The sequence below is a fragment of the Homo sapiens genome, chromosome 2 (assembly GCF_000001405.40).
Source record: "Homo sapiens chromosome 2, GRCh38.p14 Primary Assembly".
NCBI lineage: Eukaryota > Metazoa > Chordata > Mammalia > Primates > Hominidae > Homo > Homo sapiens.
This window is the reverse complement of record NC_000002.12, coordinates 170,439,973-170,461,318: the sequence shown is the minus strand read 5'-3', so window position 1 is coordinate 170,461,318 and position 21,346 is coordinate 170,439,973. Positions and strand designations below refer to the sequence as shown.

The 21,346-nt window shown below is 40.3% G+C and overlaps 1 protein-coding gene across 11 annotated transcripts in view; it reads right to left on the bottom strand.

The window, feature by feature from the left end:
- MYO3B (myosin IIIB) overlaps positions 1–21,346 on the bottom strand; it is a 477,021-nt gene that overhangs the window by 193,849 nt on the left and 261,826 nt on the right. For all 11 annotated transcript variants that reach the window (NR_045682.2, NR_045683.2, NR_045684.2 and 8 more), the window contains one exon: positions 17,273–17,352. Coding sequence is in view for 8 of the 11 variants with exons in the window: in NM_138995.5 (NP_620482.3) it covers positions 17,273–17,352 (80 nt within the window). In the remaining 3 variants the exon portion in view is untranslated. The remainder of the gene's footprint in view (positions 1–17,272; positions 17,353–21,346) is intronic.

Genomic DNA, 21,346 nt, shown 5'->3' with positions numbered 1-21,346 from the left:
GTTTTTAGTAGAGACAGGGCTTCTCCATGTTGGTCAGGCTGGTCTCAAACTCCTGACCTCAGATGATCCACCCGCCTCGGCCTCCCAAAGTGCTGGGATTACAGGAGTGAGTCACCTCACCCGGCCTCAGCACTTCTTTTTGTTAAGAGATCCTCCCTGAAGAAGCACCTCTTGCTTTGAACCTGGCTTTTCCTCCTTCATTTCCCTCCCTTTTTATTCAAATTAACTAGTGAGCACCAGCCCCCCAGGCAGCTGAAAAGCTCATTTATAATTTTCTATTGGTAGATGTTTATGAATTGACCTATTACCCTCCCTCAGAACTTATAACAGACACTTAGCATTTGAGAATTTAAGTTTAGTGACCAAAAAATCCTTGATGTGTATTAATTCAGCTGAAACACAATTTAAAAGGAATACTCTTATAAGAAAATTTCACATGTACCCCATAAATCTGCACAAATAAAATATAAATAAATAAAAGGAATAATCTGTATTGTTTTCAAGATCAGCACCAGTTCCCTACAGCAAATTGGAAAAATGCAGAGTTAAGCACCAATTTGCACTCTAAAAGTTATAAGGCTACGTGGTCAGGAGGTAGCTCCCAGCTAGTGACGGGCCCTGTCTAACTGCACAGCATCTGTGTTTCAACAGGACTTTAAATTCTGTCCTTGCAATCACATACAGAGTGATGTTTGGAAATAAAGTAAAAACCTATCCTTTGACATATACAACCTGGAAATGCTAATGCTTATCTGTAATTCACCACCTACATACTTAGTACTGTGTTTGACAGAATAGGTCATATGTCTTTTTTTTTTTTTTTTTTTTTTTGAGACGGAGTCTTACTCTGTCACCTAGGCTGGAGTGCAATGGCGCAATCTCAGCTCACTGCAACCTCTGCCTCCTGGGTTCAAGCGATTCTCCTGCCTCAGCCTCCTGAGTAGCTGGGATTACAGCTGCACACCACCACGCCTGGCTAATTTTGGTATTTTTAGTAGAGACAGGGTTTCACCATGTTGGTCAGGCTGGTCTTGAACCCCTGACCTTGAGATCCGCCCGCCTCGGCCTCCCAAAGTGCTGGGTTTACAGGCGTGAGCCACCACGCCCGGCCTAGAATAGGTGATATTGAGAGGTGACAACATGCTAGCAGCCCGTGCTAGCAGCCCTCGCTTACTCTCGGCGACTCCTCTGTCTCAGCATCCACTCTGGCCACGCTTGAGGAGCCCTTCAGCCCGCCACTGCACTGTGGGAGCCCCTCTCTGGGCTGGCCGAGGGCGGAGCTGGCTCCTTCTGCTTGCGGGGAGGTAAAGAGGGAGAGGTACGGGCTGGGAACCAGGGCTGCGCGTCCCTTGAGAGCCAGCATGAGTTCCGGGTGGGGGCAGGCTCAGTCGGCCCTGCACTGGAAGCGGCTGGCCAGTGCCGCTGGCCACGGGCAGTGAGGGGCTTAGTATCTGGGCCAGCAGCTGCGGAAGGTGCACCAGGTCCCCCACCTGCCCACACCACGCTCAAATTCTCGCCAGGCCTCAGCCACTTCCCCGTGGGGCAGGGCTCAGGACCCGCAGCCCGCCATGCCCAAGCCCCCCCACCCCCAGTGGGTTCCCATGCGGCCCGAGCCTTGAGCCTCCTCGACGGGCACCACCCCCTGCTCCATGGCGCCCGGTCCCATGACTGCCCAAGGGCTGAGGAGTGCAGGAGTGTGGCGCCGGGACTGGTGGGCAGCTCCACCTGCAGCAGGATCCAGTAGGCAAAGCCAACTGGGCTCCTGGGTGGGGGTGGGGACTTGGAGAACTTCTATGTCTAGTTAAAGGTTTGTAAATGCACCAATCAGCACCTTGTGTCTAGCTAAAGGTTTGTAAATGCACCTATCAGTGCTCTGTGTCTAGCTAATCTAGTGGGGACTTGGAGAACTTTGTGTTTGGCTAAAGGATTGTAAGTGCACCAATCAGCACTCTGTGTCTAGCTCAAGGTTTGTAAACCCACCAATCAGCACCCTGTCAAAACAGACCAATCAGCTCTCTGTAAAATGGGTCAATCAGCTCTCTGTAAAATGGACCAATCCGCAGGATGTGGGTAGGGTCAGATTAGGGAATAAAAGCAGGCTGCCAGAGCCAGCAGTGGCAACCCGCTGGGGTCCCTTTCCACGCTGTGGAAGCTTTGTTCTTTCACTCTTCGCAATAAATCTTGCTGCTGCTCACTCTTTGGGTCCACTCTGCCTTTATGAGCTGTAACACTCACTGCAAAGGTCTGCAGCTTCACTCCTGAAGCCAGCAAGACCACAAACCCACCGGGAGGGATGAACAACTCCGGACGGGAGGAACAAACAAACTCTGGACACACCATCTTTAAGAACTGTAACACTCACCGCGAGGGTCCATGGCTTCATTCTTGAAGTCAGCAAGACCAAGAACCCACCAATTCACAATATGTTATTGGAGTATTTTCTAATTGAAGAATTTAAAAAGGTCTTCGGTTGGTGAGGGATCTCTTGTATATTTGCATATTCATAAGGTTCTCCTGAACTTGGAATGGATCTAAAAGAATTTCCGACAAGGAACAAACCAGAAGTTGCTTCTCTCAGCCTTTTAAACTAGACCTCTCTCTGTATCAGGCCTTCCACGGAGCTCCAAAGCCAGCCCCAAAACTCCAAACCAAAAGGGCTGAGAAGGCTGTTGTGTAGCCTAAGAGTTTGTCTTCCTGAGCTAATTTCATTATAGTAGTAGTAGCATCATTTAATTTTTTAACCAAAAATGCTTTTAGAAACAACCTGGAAAGTGGGTTCTATTAGGGCATCATCTAGCAAATAATTCTTCCCAAAAGTGGGGATTTGACAAAGAGAAAATCCTCTCCAAAGTATATGTTCTTTACCTTAGGATAAAAAAAGAGACCAGAAAAGCTTTTCTAGGCTGAGTGATTGCTATTGACAAACCTGGTTGAAATTCTTGCTAGCTGTGTGGCCATGCACCTGTTACACTCATGTGCCATAGAAGTAGGACATTTCAGTCAATGGTAAACTGTATATACTACATTAGTCCCATAGATTATAATGGAGCTGAAAAAATCCCATTGCCTAGTAATGTTGTAGACATAATGTCATAGTGCACTTCATTACTCATGTGTTTGTGGTGATTTGGTGTAAACAAACCTGCGCTGCCAATCATATCGAAGCAGAGCATGTACAATAATGTACAGTATATAATACTGGATAATGATAGTAAATAACTATGTTACTGGTTTACGTATTTACAATACTTGTAATCATTATTTTAGCCAGGTGCGATAGCTCATGCCTGTAATCCCAGCACTTTGGGAGGCCAAGGTGCGTGGACCACTTGAGGTCAGGAGTTCGAGACCAGCCTGGCCAACGAAGTGAAACCCTGTCTCTACCTAAATATAAAACTTAGCCAGGCGTAGTGGTGGGCACCTGTAGTCCCAACTGCTCAGGAGGCTGAGGGAGGATAATTGCTTGAACCCGGGAGGCAGAGGTTGTAGTGAGCCACGATCATGGCACTGCACTCCAGCCTGGACAACACAGCGAAACTCTGTCTCAAAGAAACAAAAAAGTAATTATTTTAGGGTGTACTTCTTCTACTTACATTAAAAACAAAACAAAAAACATTAACCGTGGAACAGCCTCAGGCAGGTCCTTTAGGAGGTATTCCAAAAGAAGGCATTGTTATCATAGGAGATGATGACACTATGCGTGTTAGACCTTCTAGTTGGACAAGATGTGGCATTAGTAGAAGACAGTGATATTGATGATCCTGAGCCTGTGTAGGCCTAGGCTAATGTATGTGTTGGTGTCTTTGTTTTTCACAAAAAATTTTAAAAATAAAAGTAAAAAATTTTTAAATAGAAGTTTATAGAATAAAGATATAAAGAAAGAAGATTTTTGTACAGTTGTACAATGTGTTTGTGTTTTAAGCTAAGTGTTATTACAAAAAAAAAAGTGAAAAAGTCTTTTAGACAGACTTGTCCCAAACCATTCTTTGTTTTACAGGCCTTTTTAAGTTCATAAAAAAAAGTTAAAGTAAACTAAGGTTAATTTATTACTGAATAAAATGCATTTTAAAATAAATTCAGTATAGCCTAAGTGTACATTATTTATAAAGTCTACAGGAGTGTACACTAATGTCTCAGGCCTTCATATTCACTCGCCACACACTCACTGACTCACCCAGAGTGACTTCCAGTCCTGTAAGCTCCATTCATGGTAAGTGCACTATGCAGGTGTGCCATTTTTAATCTTTTGTACCACATTTTTACTGTATCTTTTCTATGTTTAGATACAAAAATACCACTGTGTTACATTGCCTACAGTATTCAGTACAGTAACATGCTATACAGGTTTGTAGTCTCACAGCGAAAGGCGATAGCTTATAGCCTAGGTGTATAGTAAGCTATACCATCTAGGTTTGTGTAAGCACACTCTATGAATGAACGACGACAAAAATCACCCAATGACAGAGTCCTCAGAATATATCACTTTATTAAGTGACTGATGACTGTATTTAACTTTTAAAAGCCTCTGTTTTCCTCATTAATAAAATTGGTTAGTCAAAACTGCTGCCTTGCGCACATATAACAAATAACATTAGTTCTCCTTCCATCATTACTGTGATTGATTTAGTTTTAGCGTAGTTTTAAATATCAAGGATGCAAAGTGCGTTCAGTGGCAGAAGGAGAGTTCTGCTACCATGCAACTCAGCAAGGAGATCTTTTTATTTATTGGTAAGAAAAATAGTTCTAATGAAACTGTTGGGGTACAGAAACATATACCCCATGTTGAACTGGGTTCATATACCCCATGTTGACATGTTGAACTGAAGAAGAATCAAGGTCTCTCTGATACCCCCAACCCCCATCTCTTAATCCTCTGTCTCTCCCATAGCCCAGGATGAAGCTGTTCTCTGAAATTCATTTATCTGCCTAAAGCCTAGACCCACCAAAGAAAACAATTACCTGTGATCCCTTCCCTGAGTTTTTCATTAACTAAACTCCTATCACAGGAAGAAGGGCTGCAGTCTGTCAACACAACTGGACAGACTTGTCCCAAACCACTGTTTGTTTTGCAGACCTAACAGACTTTGTCCCAGGCCATTGTATGTTCTTCAAGGCCATTAAATTCCCCTAAAATCATTTACCGCCCCACCCCCCCACCAAAATATCCACACTTCTCCATCTCCCTCTCCCTTAAGAAGGGTATATAACCATCTGTGTACCATTTGTCTGGTGGGTAATCACTCTGTGATTCTCCCCTATTCCCGTTAATACATCTGTATGCATTTTCTCATATTAATCTGCCTCTTGTCAGTTTATTTTCAGCAAACTTTCAGAGAGTGAGGAAGTCTTCCCTTGGCCCCTATAAGACCAATATCAAAATGATCAATAGAAGCCATATTCTGGACAAAACCATTGTCTGTCTAACCCAGTATACTTTCCTCCTACAACACGGACTTACAAAACAATGTAAGTCAGTTGGAGCTGAGCAAGCGTGCTTTCTGCCCACATGATAAACATCCTGTTTGGTTCCTTGTGAATGATTAGCCTTCAGAGTAGTCACGAGTAAGTTTTACAAATTGTGTTACAGTCCCTACACCACAGCAGTTGAGCAAGCTTCTATATACATATGGGCTCCACACATGGAATTTTAAATAGTTATCAAAACTTGAGTAATACAGTATCTATTGAGTGTTTCCTATCTGAAATCACTGTACTAAACACTTCCTATGTTATGTCACTAAATTCTCAAAATAACCTATGAGGTAAATAATATTATTCTTCCCATTCCACATATGAGGAAGTTAAGACTAACATATTTTAGGTAGAATTCCCAGAGTCCTACAGCCAGTAGATGGCCATGCCTATATCTGAACCCACTTTGATTCCTAAACCATATTTCTTAAACATTATATACTGCCACTGAAACCACCTTTGCAAAAATTATAACTGAGACAATTATTACAGTGAAAAGAGATCTGATGACTCCATCTTGCTTCTAACCTCCAGCCTGTCCTTTTTCATTCCTGGGTGTAAGCTGAACTAACTTTAGGAGGAATTTATAGTTTTGCTTTGAAACAAAGACAATAACAGCCCTTTCCCAAAACAAACCCCCTTCCTTCCTGGGGACTAGACTGCCTTTGCAGGACTAACAAATTAGCCACAAGATTAGAAATCATGGTTTAGGAGTCATGCAGCTGGAGACTGCAAGATTCTAAATTTTTCCAAATTGCTCCTGGGGATAACATCAGTATTGTAAGACCTAAGATCAATGCTTGAGGTATTTTACAGACCCGGCACTCGATGGAACAGCTAGCACCACCCAGCTCAATAAACTGGCTCATCTGGTCTTGTGGCCTCAACCCAGGAATTGACTCAGTGCAAGAGGACAGTTTCAACTCCCTATGATTTCATCTCTGAACTGACCAATCAGAACTCCTAATGCACTGTCCCCCCTACCCACAGAATTATGCTTAAAAATTCAGATCCCCAAATTCTCTGATTTTAGTAATAAAAAAAACTCTGGTCTCCCACACAGCTGGCTCTATGTGAATTACTCTTTCTCTAGTGCAATTTCCCTGTCTTGATCAATTGGCTCTGTCTAGGCAGTGGGCAAGGTGAGCCCGTTAGGTGGTTACAAATTTGGGGGCTGGTCTGGGATTGCCTTTGTGGCTACCTGCCCGTGGTTCGGTAGCCCCTCTCCTTTGATGGATCCAGAGGCCAGCCCAAGCAGCCACCTAGTTCTCTTGGATTAGGGGCTGACTCGGGCACTGTCTCTACTGGCAGGTCACTGCCAGCCCAATGTGCATGAATTTAATTGCAATAGAGAAATAGTCCTGCGGAGACATTTCATAACTGTAGCCCCATGGTAGGATGTCTGTCTGTAGCTCCACCACAGGGTGTCTGTAACTGGAGCCGTATTGCAGGGTGTGTCTCTGTCTGTAGCCCAATCTTGGAGTGTCTGTAGCTGTAGCCCCATTATCGGTGTCTGATTTGGTGGGTATTCTAGGAGCTGCCAACACCTCCTCCCTTCTCCTGATAGGTTTGGCTCCTTCAAGGTCTCAGCTGGCCCTCCCTAATGAGTAAGAAGAGTCTTGGTTCCAGAGATTTCTCCTCAATCAGGAAGATTCTGGGGAGATTTCTCAGATGGAGAATAGGAGGTTAGTTTGGAAGGAATACTCTTGGAATTCTTGGCAAGGGATCTTGATTTGGAAGGCCTTCTGTCCATCTTGTCTTTGTTGTGTGTGTGTTTGTATGCGTGGAATGGATCTCTGAAGAAACTGCTAACCAAAGTCCAGCAGGCCTAACTTGAAGAACCCTCTGTAAGTGTAATTGCATTCGGTTAGCCCTGATGAAAGCTCAACAGGCCTGACTCTGTGATTCTCCACTCTTCGTCTTGCCCAGAGACCACTCATTGAATTCCTGGTTGGAGGTCATCCCTCCTCACCTTAAGTGGATCAAAGATGACAGAGACCAATGGGAGAAAGTTTGAGCCTTGTTAGGTCAATACTGGGTGTGGAATGAGGTGACTAGTGTCTGTTTTGTTACGGGTATTTTGCTTAGACTGGGATGGAAAATGTTAATTCAGTTCCTCATGCAGACTATCGGGCAGCATCTTGCAAAACTAGAAAGCTTTTGCCTATGGTTCCATAAAACAGAAAGTGATCATTTTCTTTTGTAATGGGGCTTGGTCCCCACAGCTATGGTGTGGTGAGCAGGGTCATCAAAAGCTGCTCTGTTCTTCTGAAAGTTGCAGAGAAAGGGAGCCCAGAAACCTGGTACCTGGTATGCTGTCAAAAAGGGTAAGAATTTCTTACCAGCCAGGTTTCTGGTCAGTTGGTCGCTCTCTCTTTCTCTCTCTCTCTCTCGTGTGTGTGTGTGTGTGTGTGTGTGTGTGTGTGTGTGTGTGTGTAAATGGTAAACATCACTGTTAGTCTCTTCTGCAAAGGTATGATTAATAGAAAAAAAGGATTTGTGAAACTCGTCTTATTAGGCTGCAGCAAATCTGGTGTACTTTGTGCAAAGAATTTGTCTTTCTGTAATGGAGCGGCAGTGCCACAGGATAGAACGTGGGCTGTGGACCCCTAAACCCCTACTTTTCAAGCCAGCCTGGCAGGCTTGTCAGTTACAAACTTTGCTGCAGGCCCCTGAAACCAATACCGGATGAAGTTTCTCATGTTGTTTTATGTCCTTAAAATCTTAACCATGTGACCATGTGGGGATACTTTATTTTAGTCTCTGCCATCCAGAGGACAAGGATTTTGTGGTTCATGTCATAGCTAGTCCTAAAAATTATCTTAAGCACTTTAAAGCCTTTGCAAGCTCAAAATTGGCTACTCTAGGCCTCTTTTGGGAAGAACAATAGGAAATGCTTAATGTTGTAGTTCCATAGCTAAGGCTTTGTTTTTTTGACAATGGCAGCCTAGGTTCAATTCTTCGCTTAGGAAATCAGTCCTTTCTGGTTTGTTATTTGTGTAACTTTTTGCCATTTATTGATTATTTTCCCCTATGGACGGCTTCTGATTTCCTGTCTTAATTTTTTATTTCTCTCAATTATCTTTGGGTAGATTCTAAATCTTGTAAATAAAGAAACTGTTTACTGTCTCTTTGAGACACTTTATGCATCCATGGTTAAGTTATAACCTTAGTTAAAACTTATTAATTTCACTGGGAGCTTACCTGTGGTAGAATTCAAAGGCCAAAAATATTGGCTTTCCTGGCTGGAGTCTGGAATAAGAGATTTTAAAAGTTTTTTTAAAAAACAAAAGAGCTCTACTGTTAAAATCAGCTTAATTAAAATGGATATCCAAGCTATACATACTTAAAAGGCCTTTATCTTTTTCCTCTTCTTGAATCATATTTTTCTGAAAAAGGCTTTTCTTCTCAGTTGACGGAATTATTTTTCTCCATTTTGTCTTTTTGTTGCTCTTGATGCCCACATGAGAGAACCTAAGAATTTCAAAAGCCTGGACTCCTGGGGAAAAACAGAGGTGGCACCACAGACCCCATTCTGGAAAAAACCTGTTTTCCTCATGGAACCCCAGGAATTGAAAGTGAATAGATCTCTCTCAAAATCTAAGGCTTTGTTTGGTTTTACGTTATGTTACCTGAACCTTTTTTTTTTTACTTTTGGGGGTATCAGAAATTACTTTGCATTATGGGAAAGCCTTTAGCCTTGGTGTATAGCAACTTTAAGGGATATTGGCTGTTATGGAGGGATACTTGGCTCTTTGCATGCTTGGATTAGAGAAGCATGCTTGGCCATCTGGAAGGTGTGCAAACATCCCCACCTTCCACTGAGAGATGAGACTCCCATGTAGATGGGCTGATTACAAAATGGGCCGATTGGCTTTGGGTTGCCTTGCAATAAAATGCACAGTAAAAGCGTTGTACTGTCTTCTTCCATAGTGTTTTCCTCTTTTTGGGGATCCAGGATGTGATATAAAAATGGGACCCTTAATTTTGGGGATCTGTTTTTGCCTTCCAGCTGTGCCTGCTTATTAGGCCCTGAAAACTGCAAGCTTTCCTCACCCTATTCCTCCAAGGGCTCCACCCTGAAGCCAGTAATCCAACTATTGACAAATGAAAATCTTGACAACTACTGGATCTTCTTTTCTGTGTATATTCATGTCTGTTTGTGTGATGTTTATATATGAAAGTGCTCTGAACAATTGGGGGTAAAAATAAGGGCTTAAATCAAATATTTTGTTAGAAAAATAGAAACTTTAAGTTTTTGTTCATGTGACTTTAGTAATCTTTCGGAAATAAAGACAATTTTAAAGATTACTGGTAAAATAAAAATGTCTTCAAAATTTAGACATTTGGTCAAAACATTTGGTCTAAATTAGGTCAGATATTAGGTTTGTTAAAATGCTTTAAGGTAATAAACTGCTTCTTTGACTTTTGAAAACTGTTTGACTTACCTACTTTGGAGTCATTAGGTTCTAGATAAGGCCTAGGGACATGTGGCGTAAGCCATGCCGCCTACCTGTACTAGGAAGAATCAAACCTTATTTGTACTTCTGTCTGGTGTCCTAGGCTCCACAGCTAGTATATATTAAAATCATTTACTTATCAGGCTTTTCACCAAAAATGAAAGATGCAAAAAGTTAATAGTGTAACATGTACTTGAGTCCACTGGAAAAAGAGTTTTACATGCAAGGTTGCAAGGTATAGAAGGAAAGTAGAATGTGGTTTTGGTGGGAAATTATAAGAAGGCATGGGAATATGGTTTTTGTTAAAGGGAATGTAATTTTGTCTAGTTAAGAGGGTTTTAAAGAATGTCTTAAACTAAAAGAGTAAAGGGACAAAATTGAAGGTTTAAGCAAGTTAGAAAGGTTTGTGAAGGGTTGATCTGATAAAGGAAGTTCTGTGAGAAGCAGCAAGTTGGCTAAGAGTTGAAGGGAATTGTTTAGTATTTTTCTATAGCTCAAACATTAAAATAAAAGCACACTGATGTGGAGCCAGAATCTGGGCCCATGTGTCTGAATAGCAGGGTTTTCTTTTAAAAAAATTGATCTGTTTAACAGAAAATTGTAAAGAGTTATAAGAAGTTTATGAAAATCTTACCTTATGGTCAAACTAATTAAAACTGCATAAATTTATAAAATTTTATTAAAAACTAGCTTTAGCATTAAAGATGCCCTAAAGCAAACATGAAACTTAGTTTTCTCTTTTGAAAAAGATTTTTATGTAATATTAGAGACAATGAAAACAAATCTTGTTTGCCTTTTGAGTAAACTACAAAAAAAAAAGGGAGGGGAGAGAGAAGAGACAGATTCAGCTGGCCTCATGCTGTCTTCATAGGATCTTGTTGTCTAGAAAGCTGAGTCTCCTCTCTATCAGAGTACAGGTCTTTTCCTTTTTAAAATTTCTGGGTTATCATTTTGGCTAAATGAATGACTTACGGTGACCTGGGATTCTATTTAGTGATATCCAGTGTTGTAAACCTTTGATATGTGACAAACTTTCCAAAATTAAATTATAAAGTATGTCTTTTTCTGACCTAATTAATCTTTTAGATATTAGGTCCCCTAAAGTGCAAAAATGATGTATTTGCTTTCTTATATAAAAATCACACAGGAAACACTGTCAAATATGAAATGATGTTTGGCTTTCTTTGGACTGTATTTTTATAAATATGTTATTTGTATGTGTTCCAAAATTATAGGAAGCTTCTATAATTCTGATATAATTTAATGTATATTAAGCCTTTTAATTATTATGTAAAATTGTTGTGTGCCACAGAAGTAACCAAAATTCCTAGTCAGTTGTAGCTTTAATAGTGGCTGTCCTAAGACTTTTGTCATCCACAGACAGTTGTCTTGTTTTGATCCTTTTCAGAAGGCAGTTTATAATCAGATATAGGGCTCTGATGGGTTCTCTTGAATGCAGGTCTCTGATAATGTAGAAATTGTGTTATTGGAATAGAGGAAACAAAACAAACTTCTAGGACTTATGGAGAGCTGATGTGATAAACATTGCGAATCCTTTTGTTTTTCAGAGTCAAGAAAACTTCTTCTTTTTCTTTTCTTTTTTTTTTTTGAGACAGAGTTCTGCTCTTGTCACCCAGGCTGGAGTGCAACGGCGCGATCTCAGCTCACCGCAGCCTCTGCCTCCTGGGTTCAAGCAATTCTCCTGCCTCAGCCTCCCGAGTAGCTAGGATTACAGGCATGTACCACCACGCCCAGCTAATTTTGTATTTTTAGTAGAGATGGAGTTTCTTCATGTTGGTCAGGCTGGTCTCAAGCTCCTGACCTCAGGTGATCCGCCCACCTCAGCCTCCCAAAGTGCTGGGATTACAGGCATGAGCCACTGTGTTCAGCCAAGAAAACTTTTTTTTTGAGTTATTTAGAACATTTAGCAATTGAGTAAAGTATACTCCCATGAATGAAATTTGGAGCATATTGCTTTCTCTCTACCTGATTCCTCCAGAATTTAGAAACTATTTGTGAGTATTCTCAACTTATGGCAGTCTAGTTTTTTGCATAACTGCAATAAAAATCTCATTTCTTTTGTAACAGGGCACAACTGGAGAAACTGGTTATTTTACCAGGCTTTGACTGGAATGGCATGCTTTCTTTAAATAATCAAAGTTGACTTATAGAGCTAATAAAGGGAAAGCTGGCCTCATACCTTGTCTACACAGTCCGTGTACTGGGTTCCTGATCTGTAGTAAATAAAGAATGTCACTTTCTGACAGGCCCAGGAGCACCAAGTTACCTTAGGACCTTCAGAGGAGGAAAATTCACTCAACTCATAAAGGTGTTTGCAGGCATACATAAATCTGTGACTGGGCTTCAAGGCTTTAAAAGTACAATCTGAGATTCCTTGTAGAACAAAGTTTCAGCAAAGCCAATTTTAAAAGATCCTATATGGCAAATAATTATTCCTACTGGACTTTATGCAAATAATCAAGCCAAGCATAATAGGGCTAAAATTTATTTTGCAAGTAAATTTGACCTACTATGATTTATCTTTAGTAAAACTGGGGACTCGTGAGAGAAAAATTATACTTCAAAAAAAAAAAAACTATCGCACACCTGTTGTTAGTTGTTCTTGAGTTTTTATTATTTTCTGCAATTTGGATTAAATTCTAAATTATCTGTGAGCTACAAGTCCCCAAACTAATGCTTTCAAATCTTTACTTTTAAAACTTGGAATTGCACTGCTTATCCCAGAATGCATTATTTACCATATAGTATGTTGTTCTATAAATGCATTAAAACTATAGATGAGGATACTAACACCCTTGTCATGTAAGCCTTGAAACCCCAACCAGGCACCTATGAGTACATGCAGACAGCTGCAAAGCAGTTCTACTCCTCTTACCTAGGGGTCAATACCTAACCCCACTATGCCCCCTGTTCAGCAGGAAGATGTTAGAGTGGTCTTCATCCTTTTTCCATCTTCATAGCCCACATCTGAAGAATAAGGTGTTACAAAACCCAAAGAAAGGGACTGAAACTACCTTTACAAAAATTGTAACTGAGAAAATTATTACAGTGAAAGAGATCTAACATAACTGACTCCATCTTCCTTCTAACCTCCAAGCTGTCCTTGTTCATTCCTGGGTGTAGGCCGAACTAACTTCAGGAGGAACTTAGTTTATAGCTTAGCTTTGAAACAAAGACAATAACAGCCCTTTCCCAAAACAAATCCCCTTCCTGCCTGGGGACTAGACTGCCTTTGCAAGACTAACAAATTAGCCACAAGATTAGAAATTATGGTATAGGAGTCAAGCAGCTGGAGGCTGCAAGACTCTAAACCTCCCCAGATTGCTCCTGGGGATAACATCAGTATTGTAAGACCTAAGATCAATGCTTGAGATATTTTACAGACCCTGGACTCGATGGATCAGCTGGCACCACTCAGATCAATAAACTGACTCATCTGGTCTTATAGCCCCAACCCAGAAACTGACTCAGCCCCAGAGGACAGCTTCAACTCCCTATTATTTCATCTCTGGCCTCACCAATCAGAACTCCTGATTGACTTGCCCCCTACCTACCAAAGTATCCTTCAAAACTCCAATCCTTGACTACTCGAGGAGACTGATTTGAGTAATAATAAAACTCTGGTCTCCTGCGCAGCCAGCATTGTGTGAATTACTCTTTCTCTATTGCAATTCCCATCTTGATCAATTGGCTCTGTCTAGGCAGTGGCCAAGATGAACCCACTGGGTGGTTACACCACCCGATGTGGTTTATATAACTTATAAAATAAAAGTCTGAAAGCACGGTATCAGTAAAAAGATTTGCCTCATTTGTCAACTAAGTTTACTCTTGGATACAGATATAGACTCCAAAGAATCCCATAAACCATCTAGATTTTGGCAATAAATGAAAACTGAAGAATTTCCTCCTGTTCTTAGTTAGCGCTCCCTATTTGCATGCTGAAGCCTCAGAAGTGTTCATATTTATTATCTTCTTGACAAAGCCTCTTTAGAAGAATTTTTATTGCTATCAAGTGATACATCTATCCCTTAAGAAGAAGAAAAAAAACCCGACAGCACCACTGGTCTCAAACATCGTTAGAGTACTGAATAGAAAGCAAGACACATTGAAAACTGACTGTGCAGTGCTGCTCCATGTGTTGGAGCTGATAGAGTCAAGGACATGCTATCCCCAAACATGGGACTTAGGCATTTAAACAGCAGAAGCAGGAAGGCCACTCTCACCTTCCCACAGCTCTTCTCTGAAGCAGGCCAGAATACCTAGGAAGGTCACTCTCTGCCATTCTCCCTCCCTTCTCCCCTGAAGACCCTCATGTGACAGATGTCCTGACCTGAGGTAAGGAATACCCAGAGGTAAGGAATGTCATATAGGGACACCAAGAAGAATTTGAGCAAACAGTCCTTGCTAAGTAAGCTCCAGTTTAATACCATTAAATCATACCCTTTTGTTTTTCAGTCATAATTCTGTACAACTGACCACAAAAATACACAGATTTCCCTGTTTCTTTGGGTCTTCATATCTGATGGCTGTCATGTCATCTAAAACTTATATTAAATAAATTTGTAGGCTTTTCTCTTGTTAATCTGCTTTTTGTTATAGAGGTCTCAGCCATAAACCTTTTGATGGGTGAGGAAACAATATTACTTTTCCCCCACACTTACAGAGCCGAGCTTTATCCAGGGCCACTTCTGTAATTTTACCTTGGATAAGTCAGATAGTAACTGGAGTTGGTTTTGTTTCATTTTTTATTGCTATTACTGCACTTCATATTTTTGATGCCTTAATTATTAGGATTTTCAACTCATTTTCTAAGTGAAAACAAATCTTTAGTCATTTTCATCAGACCCATACACATTATTATTAATAACGTAAATATATGCCACACACTAGAAGGCACACTTTTCATGTGGGCAGGGTCTGAGCCATGGTAGATAGTACAGGGAGGGAGGCAACACTTTGCTGGTACTATGGGTGTGGAAGGCAGGGGATATGCCTTAGTCCAGTAGTCAAAAATCAAACAGAGGAAAGGAGAGGAATGTGGGTTGACAGGAAATACGACACGGGGTTCTTTAATGTTTCTGTGTCATAATCCCTTTTAGAACTGGTGGAAGCCAGTGACTCCAAAAAACCACAAAGACAATCCATCTTCATTATCTGAGGATTTGCCTACTTGCTAAAATTTATTTGTAACCCAAAGTCAATATCTGCAATGCTTTCATGGTCATTCACAGAAATGCTCAGTCCCCTGACGCACACATTTCCAGCTGATGTCAAAGAAGATGATGCTCTGCCTTCTTATTTCAGCTCTCATAAACAAGTGTCCTTTTTGAGGTCTGTTTAAGTACCACATTTTTTTTTTGCATTTTTGTGATTTTTCCATTGGTAATTTTGCTGTTTAAAATGCTGCCCCCGACCCCTGCCCAACCCAGGGTGGATGTGGTGGCTCACACCTGCAAACCCAGCACTTTGGGAGGCCAAGGCAGAAGGATCACTTTAGGCCAGGAGTTCGAGACCAGCATGAACAACATAGCAAGACCTCATCTCTACAAAAAAAATTTTTTTTAGTTAGCCAGGTATGGTGGTGCCCACCTATAGTCCTAGCTATTCTGGAGGCTGAGGTGGAAGGATCCTTGAAGCCAGAAATTCAAGGTTACAGTGAGATATGATCATGCCACTACACTCCAGCCTGGACCATAAGAGTGAGAACTTGTCTAAAAAAAAAAATGGGCCAGGTGTGGTGGCGAGCGCCTGTAATCCAGCACTTGGGGAGGCCCAGGTGGGCGGATCACCTGAGGTCGGGAGTTGGAGACCAGCCTGACCAACATGGAGAAACCCCGTCTCTACTAAAAATACAAAATTAGCTAGGCCAGGTGGTGCATGCCTGTAATCCCAGCTACTCAGGAGGCTGAGGCAGGAGAATCGTTTGAATGCAGGAGGCAGAGGTTGTGGTGAGCCAAGATCACGCCATTGCACTCCAGCCTGGGCAACAAGAGTGAAACTCTGTCTCAAAAATAAAAAAAAAAAATGTATCCCCGCAAGTGTGGTGCTGTCTAGTGTTTCTAAGCACAAGAAGGTTGTGATATGCCTCATGGAGAAAATACTTATTGTTCAGGCATGTGTTACAGTGCTATTGATTGTGAGTTCAATGACACAAATGCTGCAATTGACATACTGTTTTATATTTTAAAATACTGACTATAATTATTTAGAATAAACATATATTAAATAGGGTGTCTTTTAACAGAAACATGTGTAAAATGAGGTTATGCATTGATCACTTCACAAAAATATTGTGGCCTAAGTATTGACCCCGTATTTCCTCCTGGAAGCAATGGTTCAGTATTTGCTGATTCAGAGTTTGCAGCAACTTTAGAGAGCACAACTTTTACAAATAATGAGAACCAACTGTATTAAATACAGATAAAATTTTACATGCGCTATCAAGAGGCCATCAGAACCACTGAAACTCCTGTGTAAATCCTTCTAGAGGCCCAGATAGTACTAATGTTTTGCCGTGAAGTAGCAAGGTTGAAATGTAGGGTATTACAATGAATTATAATAGCAATATTGGTAAAAAATTATTTTTAACAAAAAATGATTTGAGTTCCCACTCTGCAAATAAGTCTTTTATTCTCAAGAAAAGTAAATATAAATATGTACATCTGTATCAATTTTGGAATACTATTCAACAGTATTAACGTGTGGCCAAATTGTTTATTCTTTATTAAATAAATTTTCAGTGTAAACCAAAAGATAAGAAAATTCAGAAACGTGACCAGCCTTTACTCCAACACCTTCAAGATAACTGTGTTTCTCTGTTGGCACTTACAATGAATATTAACGAAGCAGTCCTTAAGACTCTTGTTAAACTTTAGCTGGAAGGATAGAACAGTTAAAGACATATTTTACAGCTGGATATTTTTTAACCCTTCTAATAACTCCTTTGCACAGATGAGTGTACAACTCATTTTTCAGAGGGCAAAGGAGAGCAATAGGAAACACTGTAGTTTCTTTCCTCCCTGATTCCATTTGGTCCACTAGCTTGCTGGTAGTGTCAGAGAAATGCTTTATCTTTTCTTAGACTTTATTTTTTCAGGTAGCATTGTTCTTAAGTGCTCTTTCTGAGAATCAGGATTGTAAGGATTCCATGATGTTTCCAATTTCCTAACCCCTGATTTCCTAAATGCCTTTAATCTCTCTACTAGACTGCCCAGGCAGAGGGCTGCTAGAAGGGAACTAATGCTGCCCACTCTAAGATTATCCCTGGGTCAAGAGTACCTGCCAGTCCATACTATATTTGGTGCAAATCTGTTACTCACCTTGGCTTTCCCAGCACTGAAATGTGGAGGCAAAGAACTTGAGGCCACTGTTATCCTAGCTCTTGTCTGGGCCAAATTACCTGAGAAAGAGACCACAAAGAACATAAATTAAAGGAAAAGTTAAGAAATAGGATCATGAGTAATTTTTCCCTTTGGGTCCTTGTATTTTTCTGAATTTTCAAAACAATCTGCTCTGAATTTTTAAAATTTGGAAAATTTTGACACTTTGATGATATAAATTATAAATTATAATAATTATTTATAAGTTTAAAATAATTTGTAACTTATAAATTGAATTTATATTCATTTTATAAGCAAAAAGAACATAAAATTATTAAATTCACTGAACAAATTAGAAATAAAAGGAAATTCACCTTATACAAAAATTAATTCAAGATGGATTAAAGATTTAAATGTTAGACCTATAACCATAAAAACCCTAGAAGAAAACCTAAGCAATACCATTCAGGCCATAGGCATGGGCAAGGACTTCATGACTAAAACACCAAAAGCAATGGCAACAAAAGCCAAAATTGACAAATGGGATCTAATTAAACTAAAGAGATTCTGCACAGCAAAAGAAACTACCATCAGAGTGAACAGGCAACCTACAGAATGGGAGAAAATTTTTACAATCTACCCATCTAACAAAGGGCTAATATCCAGAATCTATAAAGAACTTAAATTTACAAGAAAAAATCAAACAACCCCATCAAAAAGTGGGCAAAGGATATGAACAGACACTTCTCAAAAGAAGACATTTATGCAGCCAAAAGACACATGAAAAAATGCTCATCATCACTGGCCATCAGAGAAATGCAAATCAAAACCACAATGAGATACCATCTCACGCCAGTTAGAATGGCGGTCATTAAAAAGTCAGGAAACAACAGGTGCTGGAGAGGATGTGGAGAAATAGGAACACTTTTACACTATTGGTGGGACTGTTCAACCATTGTGGAAGACAGTGTGGCGATTCCTCAGGGATCTAGAACTAGAAATACCATTTGACCCAGCTATCCCATTACTGGGCATATACCTGAAGGATTATAAATCATGCTGCTATAAAGACACATGCACATGTATGTTTATTGCGGCACTATTCACAATAGCAAAGACTTGGAACCAACCCAAACATCCATCAATGAAAGACTGGATTAAGAAAATGTGGCACATATACACCGTGGAATACTATGCAGCCATAAAAAAGGATGAGTTCATGTCCTTTGTAGTGACATGGATGAAGCTGGAAACCATCATTCTGAGCAAACTATCGCAAGGACAGAAAACCAAATACTGCATGTTCTCACTCATAGGTGGGAATTCAACAATGAGAACACTTGGACGCAGGGTGGGGAACATCACACACCAGGACCTGTCGGGGAGTGGGGGGAGTGGGGAGGGATAGCATTAGGAGATATACCTAATGTAAATGATGAGTTAATGGGTGCAGCACACCAACATAGCACATGTATACTATGTAACAAACCTGCACGTTGTGCACATGTATCCTAGAACTTCAAGTATAATTAAAAAAAAAAAAAAAAAAGAACACCTCCTACTAAATAACAAGAAGAGGGACAATCAATTAATAAATGGGCAATATATTTGAACAGAAACTTCACTGAAGAAGATACTCAAAGGGCAAATAAGCACATGATATAACTTTAACTTAATTAGTCATTAGGGAAGTAGAAATAAAAACCATAATGATACAGCTCTACATACCTGCTATTATGGCTAAAATAAAAAAGGCAGACAATAACACGTGTTCACAAGTATTAGGAACAACTGGAACCTTCATTGCTGATAGGAATACAAAATATTAGAGCTACTGTTGAAATCAGGTGGAAAATTTATTATAAAGTAAGCATAAATTCATATAGCTCCGAGATAACACTTCCAGATATTTACCAAAGAGAAATAAAAATATATGTCCACAAAAAAAAGAAATAAAAGGAAATTACCACAATATATTAATGGCCATTTATGAAAATCCCACAGTGAAATGTCAGAGGCATTTGAACCACAGCAACTTCATCTTGAATAGGGGCTGGGTGAAAATAAGGCTGAGACCTACTGGGCTGCATTCCCAGGAGGTTAGGCATTCTTAGTCACAGGATGAGATAAGAGGTTGGCACAAAATACAGATCATAAACACCTTGCTGATAAAACAGGTTGCAGTTAAAAAAAGAAAAGCCTGGTCAAATCTCACCGAAACCAAGATGGCAATGAAAGTGACCTCTGGTCATCCTCATTGTTCATTATATGCTAATTATAATGCATTAGCATGCTAAAAGACACTCCCACCATCTCCATGACAACAAATGCATGGCAACATCAGGAAGTTACCCTATATGGTCTAAAAGGGGGAGGACCCCTCAGTTCCAGGAATTGACCACCCTTTTCCCAGAAAACTCATGACAAATCTACCCCTTATTAAGCATATAATCAAGAAATAACCATAAAAATGGGCAACCAGCAGCCCTTGGGGCTGCTCTGCCTATGGAGCAGCCATTCTTTTATTCCTTTAGTTTCCTAATGAACTTGCTTTCACTTTACTCTATGAACTCATCCCAAATTATTTCTTGTGCAAGATCCAGGAACCCTCTCTTGGGATCTGGATTGGGATCCCTTTCCAGTAACACTAACATCATACCAAATAGTGAAAATTTGAAAGCTTTTTCCACACGATCAAAAACAAGACAAGGATTCACACACTCACCACTTCCATTCAAAATATTATAGTACTGGAAGTCTTAGCTGGGGCAATTAGATAAGGAAAAGAAATGAAAGGCATCCACATCAGAAAGGAAGAAGTAAAATTAATGTCCGTTCACAATTTTATATGTAGAAAACCTTAAAGATTCCACATTAAAAGAAGTGTTAGAACTAATAAATGTTAGAACTAACTTTAGCAAAATTGCTGATACAAAACCAACACCCAGGCTGGACGAGGTGGCTCACGCCTGTAATCCCAGCACTTTGGGAGGCCGAGGCGGGTGGATCACAAGGTCAGGAGTTGGAGACCAGCCAGGCCAACATGGTGAAACCCCGTCTCTACTAAAAATACAAAAATTAGCCGGGCGTGGTGGCACGCGCCTGTAATCTCAGCTACTCTGGAGGCTGAGGCAGGAGAATCACTTGAACCCAGGAGGCGGAGGTTGCAGTGAACCGAGATCATGCCACTGCACTCCAGCCTGGGACAGAGCGAGACTCCGTCTCAAAAAAAAAAAAAAAAAAAAAAACCAACACCCAAAAATCAGTTTGTTGTTGTTGTTGCTGTTGTTTTTTCAGACAGAGTCTCACTCTGTTGCCCTGGCTGAAGTGCAGTGGTGTGATCTCAGCTCACTGCAACCTCCACCTCCCAGATTCAAGTGATTCTCATGCCTCAGCCTCCTGAGTAGCTGGGATTAGAGGCACGCGCCACCAATCCCAGCTAATTCAGTTGCATTTTTATACACTAAAAATGAACTATTCAAAAAAGAAATTAAGGAAATAATTCCATTTAAAATAGCATCAAAATATAATAGGAATAAATTTAATCAAGGAGGCAAAAGACTTTTACACCAAAAACTACAAAACATTGCTGGGAGAAATTAAAGAAGACACAAATAAACTGATGGACATCACTGTTCATGGGTTGGAAGACTTAACATTGTTAAAATGTTCATACTATCCCAAGCATTCTACAGATTCAGTGTAATCCCTATTAAGTCCCAATGGCATCTTTTGCAGATAGAAAAAATATCCTAAAATTCATATAGAACCACAAAGGACCCAGAATAGCCAAAACAACAGTGAGAAAAAGAATAAAGCTGGAGGACTCACATTTCCTGAATTCAAAACAGAGTGCCCAGAAATAAACACACAACAGATGCATGATCAAATGATCTTTGATAAAATCACCAAGAGTATACAATGGGGTAAAATAATCTCTTCAACAAACAGTGTTAGGAAAAGTGAATATCCACATACAAAAGAATAAAATTTAACTGTTACCTTATACCATACACAAAAATCATATCAAAATGGCTTGAAGATTAAAATGCAAGAACTGAAACTATAGCCAGG